Source organism: Homo sapiens, chromosome 12 (genome assembly GCF_000001405.40).
Source record: "Homo sapiens chromosome 12, GRCh38.p14 Primary Assembly".
In the NCBI taxonomy this organism is placed as follows: Eukaryota; Metazoa; Chordata; class Mammalia; order Primates; family Hominidae; genus Homo; species Homo sapiens.
Window position 1 is genome coordinate 112,156,205 of NC_000012.12, and position 16,300 is coordinate 112,172,504.

The 16,300-nt window shown below is 53.9% G+C and overlaps 1 protein-coding gene and 1 non-coding gene across 3 annotated transcripts in view, besides 1 other annotated feature; both read right to left on the reverse strand.

Annotated features, from left to right (window-relative positions):
• Positions 1-3,990: 3,990 nt before the first annotated feature.
• Positions 3,991-16,300, reverse strand: part of HECTD4 (HECT domain E3 ubiquitin protein ligase 4) — a 222,237-nt gene continuing 209,927 nt past the window's right edge. For both annotated transcript variants that reach the window (NM_001388303.1, NM_001109662.4), the window contains exons 68-76: positions 14,913-15,059; positions 14,129-14,248; positions 13,299-13,454; positions 11,610-11,713; positions 11,113-11,334; positions 7,905-8,071; positions 7,338-7,533; positions 6,838-7,060; positions 3,991-6,319 (exon numbers count right to left, since the gene is read on the reverse strand). In NM_001388303.1, the coding sequence (NP_001375232.1) occupies positions 6,183-6,319; positions 6,838-7,060; positions 7,338-7,533; positions 7,905-8,071; positions 11,113-11,334; positions 11,610-11,713; positions 13,299-13,454; positions 14,129-14,248; positions 14,913-15,059 (1,472 nt within the window). In that variant the 3' untranslated portion in view covers positions 3,991-6,182. The remainder of the gene's footprint in view (positions 6,320-6,837; positions 7,061-7,337; positions 7,534-7,904; positions 8,072-11,112; positions 11,335-11,609; positions 11,714-13,298; positions 13,455-14,128; positions 14,249-14,912; positions 15,060-16,300) is intronic.
• On the reverse strand, positions 7,054-7,117 carry MIR6861 (microRNA 6861). Its single transcript, NR_106921.1, has one exon. It is a non-coding gene; the product is annotated as a microRNA 6861 (primary transcript).
• Positions 9,744-10,350: an enhancer, noted in NCBI's record as "H3K27ac-H3K4me1 hESC enhancer chr12:112603752-112604358 (GRCh37/hg19 assembly coordinates)". NCBI's record gives its function as "activates a minimal SCP1, AML or CMV promoter by ChIP-STARR-seq in naive and primed H9 embryonic stem cells {active_cell/tissue: H9 hESC(naive and primed)}" and the evidence as "EXISTENCE:reporter gene assay evidence [ECO:0000049][PMID:30033119]".

Genomic DNA, 16,300 nt, shown 5'->3' on the forward strand with positions numbered 1-16,300 from the left:
TGCCTGATCTTAGTTCTTTCTTGTCTTCTGCTAGCTTTTGAATTTGTTTGCTTTTGCTTCTCTAGTTCTTTTCGTGATGTTAGGGTGTTGATTTTAGATCTTTCCTGCTTTCTCCTGTGGGCATGTAGTGTTATAAATTTCCCTCTCAACACTGCTTTAGCTGTGTCCCAGAGATTCTAGTACGTTGTGTCTTTGTTCTCATTGGTTTCAAAGAACTTATGTATTTCTGCCTTAATTTCATTATTTACCCAGTAGTCATTCAAGAGCAGGTTGTTCAGTTTCCATGTAGTTGTGCAGTTTTTGAGTGAGTTTCTTAAACCTGAGTTCTAATTTGATTGCACTGTGGTCTGAGAGACTACTTGTTATAATTTCCATTCTTTTGCATTTGCAGAGGAGTGTTTTACTTCCAATTATGTGGTCAATTTTAGAATAAATGTGATGTGGTGCTGAGAAGAATGTATATTCTGTTGATTTGGGGTGGAGAGTTCTGTAGATGTCTATTAGGTCCACATGGTCCAGAGCTGAGTTCAAGTCCTGAATATCCTTGCTAATTTTCTGTCTCATTGATCTAACATGGACAGTGGGATGTTAAAGTCTCCCACTATTATTGTGTGGGAGTCTAAGCCTCTTTGTAGGCCTCTAAGAACTTACTTTATGAGTCTGGGTGCTCCTGTATTGGGTGCATATATATTTAGGATAGTGAGCTCTTCTTGTTGCATTGATCCCTTTACTATTATGTAATGCCCTTGTCTTTTTTGATCTTTGCTGGTTTAAAGTCTGTTGTATCAGAGACTAGGATTGCAACCCCTGCTTTTTTTTGCATTCCATTTGCTTCATAAACATTCTTCTATCTCTTTATTTTGAGCCTATGTGTGTCTTTGCACGTGAGGTGTGTCTTTGCATGTGAGATGGGTCTCCTGAATACAGCACACTGATAGGTCTTGACTCTATCCAATTTGCCAGTCTGTGTCTTTTAATTTGGGCATTTAGCCCATTTACTTTTAAGGTTAATATTGTTATGTGTGAATTTGATCCTGTCATTATGATGCTAGCTGGTTGTTTTGCCTGTTAGTTGATGCAGTTTTTTCCTAGTGTCGATGGTCTTTACAATTTGGTATGTTTTTGCAGTGGTTGGTCCTGGTTTTTCCTTTCCATATTTAGTGCCTCCTTTAGGAGATCTTGTAAGGCAGGCCTGGTGGTGACAACATCTCTCAGCATTTGCTTGTGTGTAAAGGATTTTATTTCTCCTTTGCTTATGAAGCTTAGTTTGGCTGGATATGGAATTCTGGGTTGAAAATTCTTTTCTTTAAGAATGTTGAATATTGGCCTCCACTGTCTTCTGGCTTGTAGGGTTTCTGCAGAGAGATCTGCTGTTAGTCTGATGGGCTTCCCTTTGTGGGTAACCCGCCCTTTCTGTCTGGCTGCCCTTAACATTTTTTCCTTCATTTCAACCTTGGTGAATGTGATGATTATGTGTCTTGGCGTTCCTCTTCTTGAGGAGTATCTTTGTGGTGGTCTCTGTATTTCCTGAATTTGAATGTTGGCCTGTCTTGCTAGGTTGGGGAAGTTCTCCTGGATAATATCCTGAAGAGTGTTTTCCAACTTGGTTCCATTCTCCCTGTCACTTTCAGGTACACCAATCAAATGTAGGTTTGGTCTTTTCACATAGTCCCATATTTCTTGGAGGCTTTGTTCATTCCTTTTCATTCTTTTTTCTCTAATCTTGTCTTCTCACTTTATTTCATTAAGTTGATCTTCAATCTCTGATATCCTTTCTTCCGCTTGATCGATTCAGCTGTTGATAGTTGTGTATGGTTCACGAAGTTCTCATGCTGTGTTTTTCATCTCCATCAGGTCATTTATGTTCTTCTCTAAACTGGTTATTCTAGTTAGCAATTCCTGTAACCTTCTTTCAAGGTTCTTAGCGTCTTTGCCCTGGGTTAGAACATGCTCCTTTAGCTTGGAGGGGTTTGTTATTACCCACCTTCTGAAGCCTACTTCTGTCAATTCATCAAACTCATTCTCCATCCAGTTTTGTTCTCTTGCTGGGGAGGAGCTGTGATCCTTTGGAGGAGAAGTGTTTTGGTTTTTGGAATTTTCAGCCTTTTGGCGCTGGTTTTTCCTTATCTTCGGTGATTTATCTACCTTTGGTCCTTGATGTTGGTGACCTTTGGATGGGGTTTCTGTGTGGATGTTGTTTTTGTTGATGTTGATGCTATTCCTTTCTGTTTGTTAAGTTTTTCTTCTAACAGGCCCCTCTGCTGCAGGTCTGCTGGGGTTTGCTGGAGGTCCGCTCCAGACCAGTATTACCAGCAGAGGCTGCAGAATAGCAAAGATTGCTGCCTGTTCCTTCCTCTGGAAGTTTTGTCCCAGAGGGGCACCCACGCGATGCCAGCCAGAGTTATCCTGTATAAGGTGTCTGTCGGTCCCTGCTGGGAGGTGTTTCCCAGTCAGGAGGCGTGGGGCTCAGGGACCCACTTGAGGAGGCAGTCTGTCCGTTAGCAGAGCTCAAGTGCTGTGCTGGGAGATCTGCTGCTCTCTTCAGAGCTGGCAGGCAGGGAGTTTAAGTCTGCTGAAGCTGTGCCCACAGCTGCCCCTTCCCCCAGGTGCTCTGTCCCAGGGAGATAGGAATTTTATCTATCAGCCCTTGACAGGGCTGGTGCCTTTCTTTCAGAGATGCCCTGCCCAGAGAGGAGTCTAAATAGGCAGTCTGGCTACAGCGACTTTGCCGAGCTGTGGTGGGCTCCACCCAGTTCGAACTTCCTGGCAGCTTTGTTTACACTGTGAGGGGAAAACCCACCTACTGAAGCCTCAGTAATGGCAGGCGCCTCTCCCCACACCAAGCTCGAACATCCCAGGTTGACTTCAGACTGCTGTGCTGGCAGTGAGAATTTCAAGCCAGTGGATCTTAGCTTGCTGGGCTCCATGGGGGTGGGATCTGCTGAACTAGACCACTTGGCTCCCTGGCTTCAGCCCACTTTCCTGGGGAGTGAACTGTTCTGTCTTGCTGGCATTCCAGGTGCCACTGGGGTATGAAAAAACTCCTGCAGCTAGGTCGGTGTCTGCCCATACGGCCACCCAGTTTTGTGCTTGAAACTCAGAGCCCTGGTGGCGTAGGCACTGGAGGAAATCTCTTGGTCTGCAGGTTGTGAAGACTGTGGGAAAAGCATAGTATCTGGGCCGGAGTGCACCGTTCTTCCCGGCACAGTCCCTCATGGCTTCCCTTGGCTAGGGGAGGGAGTTTGCTGACCCCTTGTGCTTCCTGGGTGAGGCCATGCCCCACCCTGCTTCAGATCACCCTCTGTAGGCTACACCCACTGTCTAACCAGTCCCATTGAGATGAGCCAGATACCTCAGTTAGAAATGCAGAAATCACCTGCCTTCTGTGTTGGTCTCGCTGGGAGCTGCAGACCAGAGCTGTTCCTATTCGGCCATCTTGCCACCCTTCCAAAGTTAGTGTTTATGAAGTACAAGAAAGGTGGAGTTGAGAGCATGAGAATAAAGCGGCTCTGGGTGAGGACTACCATGGAACAGTAGGAGGGGACAAGCAGGTCACAGAGAACTGAGATTATCCGGAGTATAGCCAACCTGGGCTCCCTGGCCAGGGAGGCAGCTGTGCAAGGACCTGAGTGTTGATCATGGACAGCAAGACTCAGCAAGTCCTCACCTCTTTCCTGTATGTGCCTTCTGCACAAGGTAGGTCTACATCCACTGCCTGCTCCTGAAGGAGGAGCTGTGTCTAAGAGGGGCCCAGACTCTGCCACGATAACAATCCGCTTGAGGAAAATGCCCACACCAGGCCCAAGCGCATAGACTAGCTGCCAGGACAAAAAGTGGGCAGGGGATGTAGGGTTAGGTTTAACTTTGATTTTGGATTCCCCTGCCTTCGTAATTTCTACATGGAATGCACAGACTGAAGAGTCAGGTTTGGGGAAGGGTAGTTTAAAAACCTCATGGAGTAAGAATCACGTCAAATGCCAAGAGACCATAATAATTAGAAACACTTTAATTCCTAGCCACTTGGCAGCACTTAAATATCAGAGCCATCCAAGCATGCCAGCCTTTGAACTTGCTCAGCAAGAGTAGATGATCACACAACTCTTAAGGTAAATCAAAATTAGATGAAGGTTATTTATTGGTGTGACTTTTTTCCTTTAGTGAGCTTCCTTTACACAGCATGGTGTAAATAGCATCAGATTGAATGAAAAGTTTGTTAAATGCAACCATAAATAATTATAATAAATATACATCAAGTAACTTTACAGCACACATTTTTTAGGGCCAAGGTTTGGATCTGTCTGGACCTCAATGTGCTCTCGGAGAAGCAGCCACGTTAGCAGCAGATACCTTACAGCTTGTCATCTACTCAAGTGATGGCCAACAGAAGCTTCTGAACTCCTCCTGGGGAGGTAGCTGACAAGTCCATTCAAGGGATGAGGACTAAAGAGAACCAAGAATTTAAAGATGTAGGGAGGAAAAACCACTTCTAATAAATCGAAAGGCTCTTTCATTATGCAGAAATGAAAATAAAAGGATCCTTATTGTCAGGAATACATCCTGGCTGTGACCCCCCACACTCAAAGGAGCTGTGGCCGCTGGGGAGGCAGCGGGCTGACCATCTTCTTTCAAAGCAGGGGAACTGCTTGCGGGCACTCACCTCCAGAGTTGACTTGCATCCAATACAACTGATGCAGCTGTCATGATTAACCCTAGGTCGATTTCATCCTTAGGTCAGGGGATCCTTTCTATAATGGTCCTTGATGCATTTCCTAAGAGTTACAGGGAGGAGATGGATGCTAACGGCTCTATCTCTAGAATTCACAATCTTTCCAGCAGGCCAGGGCACATCTTCTTTCTTGGACCAGCATCCACACTCCAAAACCTTCTAGACAGCACTCACTCAAAACTTCCAATATTCACAATATTATACAATAAATACAGCGATGTGATTCTGTGAGACCTGGCAAGGCCCAAAGTGACAGTGTCCAACAAGATGGCCTGTGCTGCTCATGAACAAAGTACCACTGGACAAAGACCTATTTGGGGCAAAGATGCAGTGGGTGAGCCTGGAGGCAGCTCAGCCCTGGCATACACACTTACATGGGGTGATGGGGAGTGCTGGGTGGGGCTGGCCAGAGGGGCAGAAGGACCCCCCTGGAGTCTCCATCTGGACTTGAGTGTCTGGGTCACTAAAGCAGACCCCAAATTGAGCAGAGCACCTCAGTCCACTCTTTTGAAAATGGGTGTGGCCCTTTCCCTTGTCCTACGTCACTGCAGGGAGGAAGGGCCATTTCTGAGCATTTTGTGCTCCTTTTTTGTGGGGTAGGCTTGAATCATGTGCTTTCCTCTCAACCAGAGTCTCGGAGGAGGCCCCCACCTGAGCATTGTCCCCCATCTCTGGGTGTCTTCTCACCCCCTGCGGCTGGGATGCACCCAGCTAGGCTCTGTGAACTAAGGTCGGGATGAACCCTTAAGTCTCCTGCTCCCGAGGAGGCCTCAGATGAAAACTGTCAGACCAGGGCCCAAAGAGACAGACGGCAGATAGGGAGGTATGGGAGGGGCAGGGGAACCACTGTGGGCTTTTCCTCAGAAAAACCAAGACCGGGAGCAAGTTCTAAAGCAGGAAGATGAACACATAAAGCTCCCTGTGTGTCTCACGTGTTTGGGCAATTGGCCCAGCCACCTCTATGTGGAGGGAGGCCTGCTGGGGCTGCCTCTGGAGCAACTCCAGCTCGAGGCTGGAGGGCAGGGCTGGCCACAGGCTTGTCTGTGGAGGCGCTCTGCTGAAAGCACGAGCGCTCTGTGTGGCCGAGGTCATTGTACCCCCGGCTTCCTGCTGGGTGGTTCTGTGATGGGGAACCAGCTGGGGCCTTATGGCATTAGAATCTGGTGGCCATGAGGGACAATGTCCAAGAAGATCAAATTAGACACAAACTGTCTGGGAACTAAACTATCCTACAAATAGACCACAAACAGGCAGCAAAAGAACCAACCCATCACGAAACGTACAAAGACAAAAGGTTAAGTCTTCCAGGAGGCCCTGGAATGTGGACGAAAGTTTGGAAAAGCAAAATGTTGCCAACTCCTCACGCAGGGCCCTGGAGGGACGGGCCGCAGTGGTGGCTTCCCAAGCCAGCAGAGTGGGTGCCTCAGTGACAGCCTAATTCTGGGGCTCCCTCCCATCAGCCACTGAGGGGGTCTTCACGGTAGTGAATGGCACAACGAAGTTTCTCCAGCATGATTTCCAGAGAGGAGTACTGGGGAAGCTTGATCATGAACATGCAGGTCTCCACGCGGATGTAGCGAGAGTCTGGGGAACCTACAAGAAACCGAGCCAGCATCAGAGGGTTGGGCCCACATCTGTGAGGCTCCCAGGGAAGCTGGGCTGGCCTCTGCTTCCAGGTTTGCCTCCTTGGGTAGCCCCAAGCCAATCCTGGGGCCCAGCAGGAGGGGGATGAGGGCCTGGGAACCTGCGAGATGTTCTTGGAGGGAAAAGGGGAGAGAGCTGCTGGACAGCGCATGTGCCAAACTGCTGATGGGTTTGTCTGCCCAGCAAATTGTTTCTTTTTTTTTTTTTTTAACCATTTTTCTGCATTTAAAAGTTAGAAGATTTGAAGCATTCTGGATTTTCAGCTTCTTTTAAGATATGAGAAAGTATCTAACAGCAGGCCTGTATGGCTGGTTCCTGCCGGGCCCTAATCCTCAATGATGTCTGAGTTTTGGCACGTGGGGCTCCTGTTCATTGTTCTCCCTTCACATGGGGCCTGGCAGCCCCAGTTCCAAACAGAGAAAGGCTAGTGTGTCCCTACTTGGGACATGGCCAGGGGAGGGCGGTACCTGCTGTGCCATCTGGGGGGGCGATCTTCATGGGGTACGGGGGCACATGGGCAGTGTCGGGACCCCCATCTTTGCAGGGGCAGGTGAACGGGATGCGCTCCTGGTTGCAGGCAAACTTGATGAACTTGCACAGCTCCTCCTGGGTGAACATCTCCAGGGCCCCCCAGAAGAACTCGATGTGCTGGTCCGTCTCCATCAGCCCCACTTGGTACATGGTGTGGGCCTGGGGAGGAGAGGTCCAGGTGTCAGGAGCCCTGGAGCCCCACCTACCCAGTGCCTCCCCAGCCCTGGGGTCTGCAGGCCAGGCCCAATCCTGGGGCAGGGTGCAACGTGTGGGCTGTGAGCACAGGGAGATGACAATGATGACAATGATACAGGTCTGTGGCAAGGACAGAGCTGAGACAGGCCACTGCCGATGCCTGCTGCTGGAGTTGAGGGTGACAGGGAGGCACGCCTGGGGCTCACCACCTCCCCGCCCAGCCTGGCCCTGGGATGTCTACCTTGAGGAACTCGAGGTTGATGTAGGGGAGGCCGCAGGTGCGCAGCTCCATCTCCAGTGGGCTGAGCATGGTCAGCAGCTGCAGGGGGATGATGGAGCCCAGGCCGGCCCGCACGGCCGTCACGCACTCCACATTCTGCAGCTCCCGCAGCCGCAGGCTCCGGATGGCTGCCGCGTAGATGTCCTTGTTCTCCCACCTGCCCGGGTGAGGAGCACAGGTGAGGGAGAACACCGCCGAAGAGGCTGGGTCTGGGGGCCACACCCACTCAGCTGGAGGTCCCGGATCCTCTCTTGGGAGAGGCCTGGGGCCCAGCCGCCCTGGTCATCCCAGTCCTTTCCTGCCTCTGGTGCCGCCGCCTCAGAGCTGCTGTTTTCTTAGTAAACCCCTTCTGCTGAGGACCCTCTTTCTTGGCACCCACCATCCTGCCTCATCTCCCTCTCCTGGTGAAATCCACCTGTCACCTGACCTAGGTCCTCGTGTCATTGCCCAGGAACAGATGCTGCTGTCATACCCTGGCTGGCTGGCCGGGCCAGCCCCTGCCAGCCCCTGACACGCGCACACACTCACGCCACAAGGATGTGCCGGCCCCGGCTGCACAGCTCCACCTCCTCGCCCGTCATGGTCAGGTAGGTGAACCTGCAGCAGGGCTTGTTGGGGCTGTCAGGGCTCTCCGTGGCCAGGTGCTGGGAGGCGATCTCAGCGCACAGGGCCTCCAGCTCGGTCTCATCATTGATCTGGAGGGTGGAGGCAGAGCGAGGCTCATTATGAGGCCATGGGAGGTGGAACCCTGATCCCCAGGTGGCTGGGTAAACCCCAAGCGCAGCTGGTGGGGTCTACCCTCGGCCGTGTAGATGAGCATGTGACACAGCTTTCGCCAATCAGAACCTGCCATCAGTTCAGGGCCGGGCGTGTGACCCAGGCCAGGCTAAAGAGACCCACATTCCAGGCCTCTTCCCACGTCTGTTTGGAGGCAGCGATCCTCTCTCACTGGCATGGACCGACTATGATGGGAAACCCTTTACCACTGGAGGCCACCTCTGCCCGTGCGCTGGGAGAGACTGCTTGAGGCTAATTATGCTTGCTTTTTTTTTTTTTTGAGACGGAGTTTTGCTCTTGTTGCCCAGGCTGGAGTGCAATGGCGCAATCTTGGCTCGCTGCAACCCCTCGCCTCCTGGGTGCAAGCAATTATCCTGCCTCAGCCTCCCGAGTAGCTGGGATTACAGGCGCCCACCACCATGCCTGGTCAATTTTTGTATTTTTAGTAGAGACTGGGTTTCACTATGTTGGCCAGGCTGGTCTCTAACTCCTGACCTCAGGTGATCTACCTGCCTCAGCCTTCCAAAGCGCTGGGATTACAGGTGTGAGCCACTGCACCCAGACCGCTTTTTCTTTTTTTTTTTTTTGAGACAGATTCTCGCTCTGTCAGCTGGAGTGCAGTGGCGCAATCTCAGCTCACTGCAACCTCTGCCTCCTGGGTTCAAGCAATTCTCTGCCTCAGGCTCCCGAGTAGCTGGGATTACAGGCACCCGCCACCATGCCTGGCTAATTTTTGTATTTTTAGTAGAGACGGGGTTTCACCACCTTGGCCAGGCTGGTCTTGAACTCCTGACCTCGTGATCTACCCGCCTCAGCCTCCCAAAGTGCTGGGATTACAGCTGAGCCACCGCGCCTGTCCTCTTTCTTTTTTTTTTTTTAAAGCAATCTGGATCAGAGGCCTGAGACCAATACCAGATGATACTGTTTGAACACCTGGATTTGGCCCTGCCTGAAGTCAAACCCATCATGCTTTTTGTTTTAAGAGCAACTAATTTTTTTTTTTTTTTTTTTTGAGATGAAGTCTTGCTCTGTCGCCCAGGCTGGAGTGCAGTGGCGCGATATCAGCTCACTGCAAGCTCCGCCTCTCGAGTTCACACCATTCTCCTGCCTCAGCCTCCCAAGTAGCTGGGACTACAGGCGCCCGCCACCATGCCTGGCTAATTTTTTGTATTTTTAGTAGAGACGGGGTTTCACTGTGTTAGCCAGGATGGTCTCAATCTCCTGACCTCGTGATCTGCCCACCTTGGCCTCCCGAAGTGCTGGGATTACAGGCGTGAGCCACCGCGCCCGGCCTAAGAGCAACTCATTTTAAACAATTTTTTTCTAAAGCTTGTTGGAGTTGGGATTTCTGTCCCTTGCCACCAGACAGCCCTGACTTAGTCCTGTCTGTGGAGGTGTACAGGCTGTCGCCTCCCCACATATGGCGACCAGGATCAGCGTCCAGGGGAAACTGATTCGCACTGTGCTTGCTGGGCTACCAGGGAGACGACAGGGTCGGACCCAAAGGAGACTGACTGCAGCTTGGGGACAGTGACAGGTGGATGGACATTCGGGTCTAAGCCTGGAGTCTCCTTAGTAGCAACCTCCCTACCCCTTCACCGCAGACACTCCACTGATACAAGTCGAGAGCACTTCTTCCTAGTATGCACCCCACAACACCATGTGGTTCTGCATCCCATACCCTCTGGGGCCTTGGCCATCCCTGTAGCCAGAAGCCTCAGCTGGCCTGTCTACCGGGACCCCGCCTCACATCCCCTGCTGCCCCAGCCTGTGCTGCACCCAGAGCCCCAGGAGGACTCCTCGGAGGAGTGCAGGAGACGCATAAACCCCCAGCCCACTGTGGGTGTTCTTCCACCCTTTAGACAATGCCTTGTCATCCCTGTTTCTACCGAGAAGCCACTGGCATCCGGGACTCTGGCTCTGCTATTGTCTTGCAATGGCTGCCCTGAGTGACCCAGGGGGACAATGGCAGAGACCAGAGACCTGGCCAGGCAGTGCCTCAGTCGGCCATGGAGTATTCTGCCGGCATAGGCAGAAGCCGCTGGCACCTCCTTCACCTGAGGCCCAGGAGAGAGCAGCTTCTGCCGGGCCTCAGGCACGACGTCCACTCTCGTGGCCTTGAGGGGCGCTGGGTGGGACGTTGCCCTCCACACTCAGCCAGGATGGCTCTCTCAGCTGTAGGGCACGTGGTGCTGGAGAGCCCGGAAGTCAGAGCAGGCAGCCCTGGGCTCCTGGTGGCTCTGCTCCCTGCCAGCTGTGAGGGCCCAGGCAAGTCACCTCCCTTTGGTGAGCCTCACTTTCCTCCTGGCCTTGTGATGATGGAATAAAGCCCTCCGCCCTCCAACATGAAGGAGACGAGCCTGGACACTCCCTGAGGACAGGGCGAGTGCCCAGAGCCTGGCTGGCCCGTGACTGGGCCTCAGTGACGGCCACTGAGTGAACGGAAGGACTGTGGACTCCATCTCCCTCCAGGGGGGCACTGGGCAACAGCACCATGCTGTCAACATCTGTGCGTGGCGTACGCATGCCCTGGACAGGCAGGAAGGGCTCCATCCTGATGCCTCCCCCTTGGTGGACCTCAGGTGGTCCCAGGGCTGACTCCTGTGCTCTGAGTCCCTGAAAAAACTCTTAACCTTCACCCCTACAGCTGTTCTCCCAGTGCCTGTTCACTCAGCTCCAGGAGCCCTTGCCCATGGCCAGGCAATGAGCACCAATGTGGGAGGGGAGGGCCAGCAGGGCTGGTCATGTCACCTCCAATCTCTGCTGCCAGCAGGGAGGGAGGCCAGAGGCCTCTGTCCCCATGAAATAAGCCTTCCTGGCACATGGCTCACACCCCTAAGGTCCTCTGTGGGATCCCAACCCAGCCTCAGCGGGGAGCTCGGGTCTGCATGGAGGCCTAAGCAAGGTGGCGGGGAGGCCCCGGGTTCTGCAGCCCCCCAGAACTGTGCCTTGCACTCACGCTCTCAAACTTCTTGACGTAATTGTAGGTGAGGATATCCGCTTCCTGCAGGTCTTGCTCAGGGTCCAAGGGCTCGCCCACCAGCGTCTTCCAGAAGGAGGGCAGGAGGTCCAGGGGCAGCGGGACGTCTGCCCGAATTGCAATCCCCAGCAGCTGCCCCAGGAAGTGCAGCAGCTGCTCCTCCCCGTAGGTGATGGGGCTCGGGGTCAGGATATACTTGCCCTGGAAGTGGAGGTGGGCATGAGGTGACCTGGGCGTGGGCCTCTGTGCCCGCCAGGGAACATGTGTTTCAAGCCACCATACCCTGTGGCAGGCAGGAGAGAAGTCACTGCAAGCTCCCAGAGCTTGCCCATCCAGTGAGGCAAGGACCTGTCCCCACAGATTGGGAGGGTTTCTGAAACGGTTTGGCTTTGATGAGACACACACTGCCCGCCACCCCAGCCACTGCGCAGGACATGAGCTCGGGGGCGTGGAGCCTCCTCCCGGCCTCTGCCTACCTTGTTCTTATTGACAGCTGAGCTGGGGCACAGCAGCAGCAGCGACAGCGAGGAACTCTGCAGCTCCTTACACACCTGCCACAGGAAGTGGCGGAAAGAGCCGCCTGTAGGACAGACGAGACACATGGGCACCTGGGGTGTCCCGGCGGGAGGCGACACCGTTCCCTCCCTCTCACCTGCTGGCTGGAGCGGCTACTCCTTCCACGGCCTACCTGCCGCTGTGGCGGGGTAGAAAGAAGCCACCCCAGGCCTGGGAGGCCTCAGGTCCAATCCTGCTCTCCACTCACTAGTGGGGCCACCCAGGGATACCACGGAGGGCAAGATGTCCCTGAGGCTCAGTCACCTGTCTGTCAAATGGGAGAGTGACCGTACCTACCCCGAAGGCCATTCGAAGATTCAGTGAGGTCACCGCAGGTCCCCACACAGGCAACCTCTCACAGCTGCAAGCCTGCCTGAGTTGTGGACTTGTTTGGTCCATGTCTGTCCCTCTGGGCCAGGCTGAGGGCAGGACCACCTGTTTCACTCAGCACTGCCTCCCCCAGTGCCCGGGCTCGCGTATGTCCGATGAATGCGTGAGTGAATGGACAAATGTGTGAATGTGCAAAGGGCAACGGTAACTGCTCATCCTCTCCCGCCGCCATTCAAGATGGGCCTTTGGTTTTGTTGTAAATCTCCTCTGGCCTTCCCTGTGTTCCCTATCGGTACCCTGAGGTCAGGGAGCTCTGAGCACAGCTGTGCCCACACCCTGCTTGGTAAGAGCCATGTGGAAACCCAGTGTGGGGGCCCAGTGCAGGGGCAGATGGTGGGCCTGGCCCTCACCTCTGCTTCAAGGAGAAGCAGGAGCGTCCTGACTGCTGACGCCTGGAAGGCCAGGGGCCTGGACCCTGGAACCCCAGCTGGCTGCATGACCTTGGGAAGTGACTTGGCTTTGTAGAGTCCCAGTTTCCCTATGTGTAGGATGGGCCAGGGCTGGCACTCTGGGCAGGTTCGCTGCTGTGGGAAGGATAAGGTGTCGAGCGTGAGTCTGGGCTGTCAGTGAACCAGAGTTGCTCTCAGAGAGGCCTAGGAGGCCTGCCCATAGGATGCCAGGGTCCCCCGTCTGGGAGGCAGCTGCGTTCCCGTGGGGGCAGATCAGAGGAAAGGGGAGAAGGAGCTGGGTGGGGGCTCCCTCCTGCCCGGACAGCCTTTCCTTCCAGTGTGCCCGGCTGTGGAGAAACTAGCTTTCTTCTCCATCTGCAGTGGACACGTTTCCTGAATGTCTGGGGCTAAGCATAAGAGGTCACAAGGGAGCACTTGCTCAGCTGCCAGTCCTCATCCCTGAAGAGTGCTATGGTGCCATCTTAACCAAGGACTCCCCAACACCCTGCCTCTCATGGGGCACACACAAGCCTTTAGGCCCACCAACTCCTCAGCCAGGGCCCTTCCCGGGGAGGGGGCCAATCAGCACCGAGGAGGGCCCTGAGCAGAGGTGCCGTCCCCAAGCCCAGCAGGGACTGGCCGAGGCTTCCACAGGGGGCTGGTCTGGAGGACACGGGCGTGAGGCCACTCTGGGTGCAGACCTGGCTTCTGCAGCACAAGTGCTGAGGATGTGGCTTTTACTCTTGGAAATGGAGGTCTTGGGCAGCTGGGGCTAAGGCTGGACACTAAACACAGCTCCTCCAGCGTGGAGCCTGGCGGGCCACCACTTACTGGTGCCATGGACCTCCTCGCCAGTGAAGCGGATGTTGAAGGCATATGTGGGGTCACCGCCACTGGCCAGCTTGACGCAGAGCTGAGACGACGGCACTGAGGCCAGCTGCCTGGCAGCCTGACAGAAGTAGGAGTTTTCAGAAGCTCTGATTTCCCCTGGAAAGTGAGATGAGCTGATCAAAGCACCCCGCCGTGGCCGCCCTCTCCCCTCCCCTTGAGGACAGACCCTGGGCCTAGCAGGCCTGTGCCTGTCCCTGGACCCCTGCTCCCTCGCTCGGCCCCCTGTGCCTTCTCTGCCCTCAGAACACCTTAGAGCCTTCTGTGCCTTAGCACTCATGGCTCCCACTTTTGGAACCTGCCCTCCTGGGCCCCCAGTGCTTGGCCCCTTCTCATCTTCTAGAGGCTTCCCTCTGCCTCTTGGGGAGGTCCTCGCCCCCCAACTCCTCTCTCGTTTCCTCTGCGCATATCCCCCTTCTGTCTATACGCTGTGGCAGAGACTCTGGGGAGCCTCCCCAGTGACCTTCTCTCCCTTTCCTTTGATGCTGGAATCCCCATTTTTGGCAGGCACATGGCTGATCAGAGCAAAGCCTGCCCCACCTGACCCCATGCAGCTGGGTGGGCCCCCGGGAGCCAAGCTCCTTCTGCTATGCCCCTTCCCTGAGCTCCTGAGGGGACCTTCCAGCAGGAAGCCACACACCAGGGCGCTCCAGCAGAACGACAGGAGGAACCGCTGCACCAGCCCTGGACCCCCTTCTTTTATGTTCCAGAAATCCGCTAGTGTGTTTAGGCACTGCCATTTTGCATTTTTTGCTCTCCGCAGCCAACCCCACCTCCCACAATTTCCAGTGGGTCCAAGGTGATCTCAGGGGCCGCGTGGTCCGCTGTCCTCTGCACAGTGGCATTCAGCACTCGATTCATCACGGTCACCTTCGTGTCATAGAAGATCAGCCCTAAGGAGAGGAACGTGGGAGAGGCTTGGGTGGGGCTTTGTCCCTTCCTTCCCAGTCCCCCCAAGACTCTCTTCCGGTCCCTGGGTGTGGCACTCTCAGGCCCCCTGGTGGCAGTAGAGCCGGGCCCTGACTGTGGAGGGTGGTGTGTCAGCATCCGCCCAGCATATACCCTTTGTCATTCCCAGGAGACATCCAATTTCTAGAAACAATGCAAACAAACTAGAGTTGCAAAATGGAATGTAGAAAATGATACCTATTTTTAATTTAAAAAAAGACAAAAAGCTGTGTGTGTGCACACATGTGTCTGTTTATATGTCAAGAGAAAAGTCTGGAAGGAGAGAGACTCATCTGTTAACAATGTCACTTCTGGGATGTAGGGATGTGGAGGCCAGATAGTAAACAGACCTTCATATATGATTTCTAATTAATTTGAAAACCTTAAAAATAATTTTATTTTTCAGAGCATGTTACTTTTATAATTAAAGTAACTTCCCTTGGGTGGGCCTGTTGCTCCAGAGGAGCCCTGCCTGCTACATGAAAGGTTGAGGTGGGGTGGCATCTTCCTGGCGGGGCTGCCCAAGGACGCTGCCCGTGGATTCTGGCCCTGGTGTCTTGCAGGTCACCTCTCTCTTCCTGCAGGGCCAGGGCAGGTGCAGGCACTGACCTTTGGCCTCCTTCAGCAGGGCGGCGATGCTGTGGGTATACATGGGTGTCTGGCGCAGCTCCACCAGGGGCAGGAAGAAGGTCTCCAGTGTGGTGTTGAGGGACTGCAGCAAGGCGAAGCGCAGGCGCAGGCTCTCGATGGGCACGTCTGAGGGCGCAGGAGCAGTCAGGCTGAGATCTCGGCCAGGTGGCTGAGATGCCTGACTCACAGGCAACACAGGCAACCCTATCACTGCGAACAGGATTGGTGGATTTTTTACCTGGGACCCTGGAGATGCTGTCAGTGAGTGAGCGGCCCCCAATGTGCCTGTGCCTATGCCAAGCAGACACAAAGGGCGAGGGCCTGGCTGGCCAGATGGAGGTGCTGGCTCTTAAGGAGTCCAAGGCCCCTCATCTACCTTCAGGGCCATGCCAGGGCTGTGCACTACGTTAGTTTTTGACTTACAATTTTGAAATAATAATATAGGAGGTTGCAAAAATGGCACAAAGAGTCCCGTGTACATTTCTCCCAGTGTCCCCCAATGGTGATGTCATATCAAAACCAGGAAACTGTGCCACTGGCACACTGCCCTTCAGTCCTTCACCCTTCTCACTGTGACAGAAGGAAGTCAGGACAACCTCTTGTCCACCTTTACCTCCTTGGCACCCAGGAAAGAGCCAGGGCTCTGTGTCTGTTGCTGATGAGGCAAGCGGCTGAGCACAGCCCCTGGGACGAGTGTAATGAACTGCTCGCCAATACCTTGTAAACGGGGGGCGTCTGGGAATTAACAATTTATTTTTTGTGTGCAATCCTAGTTTTTTTTTGGAGACGGAGTTTTGCTCTTGTTGCCCAGGCTGGAGTGCAATGGCGTGACCTTGGTTCACCACAACCTCCACCTCCCGGGTTCAAGCGATTCTCCTGCCTCAGCCTCCCAAGTAGCTGGGATTACAGGCATGCGCCACCACGCCCGGCTAATTTTGTACTTTTAGTAGAGATGGGGTTTCTCCATGTTGGTCAGGCTAGTCTCAAACTCCCGACCTCAAGTGATCCGCCCGCCTTGGCCTCTCAAAGTGCTGGGATTACAGGCATGAGCTAGCGCGCCTGGCCCAGAGAACGGCTTTCTCTCTTTGGAAACACAGGGGCACCTGAATGGGCCTTCCTGCAATCCTAGCTTTTAACAAAAACATGGTGTTCCCCATTATGAAGGCTAATGCCTCTACTGCAAGTTATCAGACTATAAATGCTTCTCACTCCCCATGGCAGCCTGGCCTCAGCGGGGCCTCCAGGCAGCGGCCTGGGCATTCCCCGCAGCCGTGCATTTCTGTATCTGCTCCCTGGCTTTGTTGTCACTGGCATTAAAAAAGGCCCCAGACTAATTAGGCCACAGTCCTGGCTCCCTGCCTTGCCCT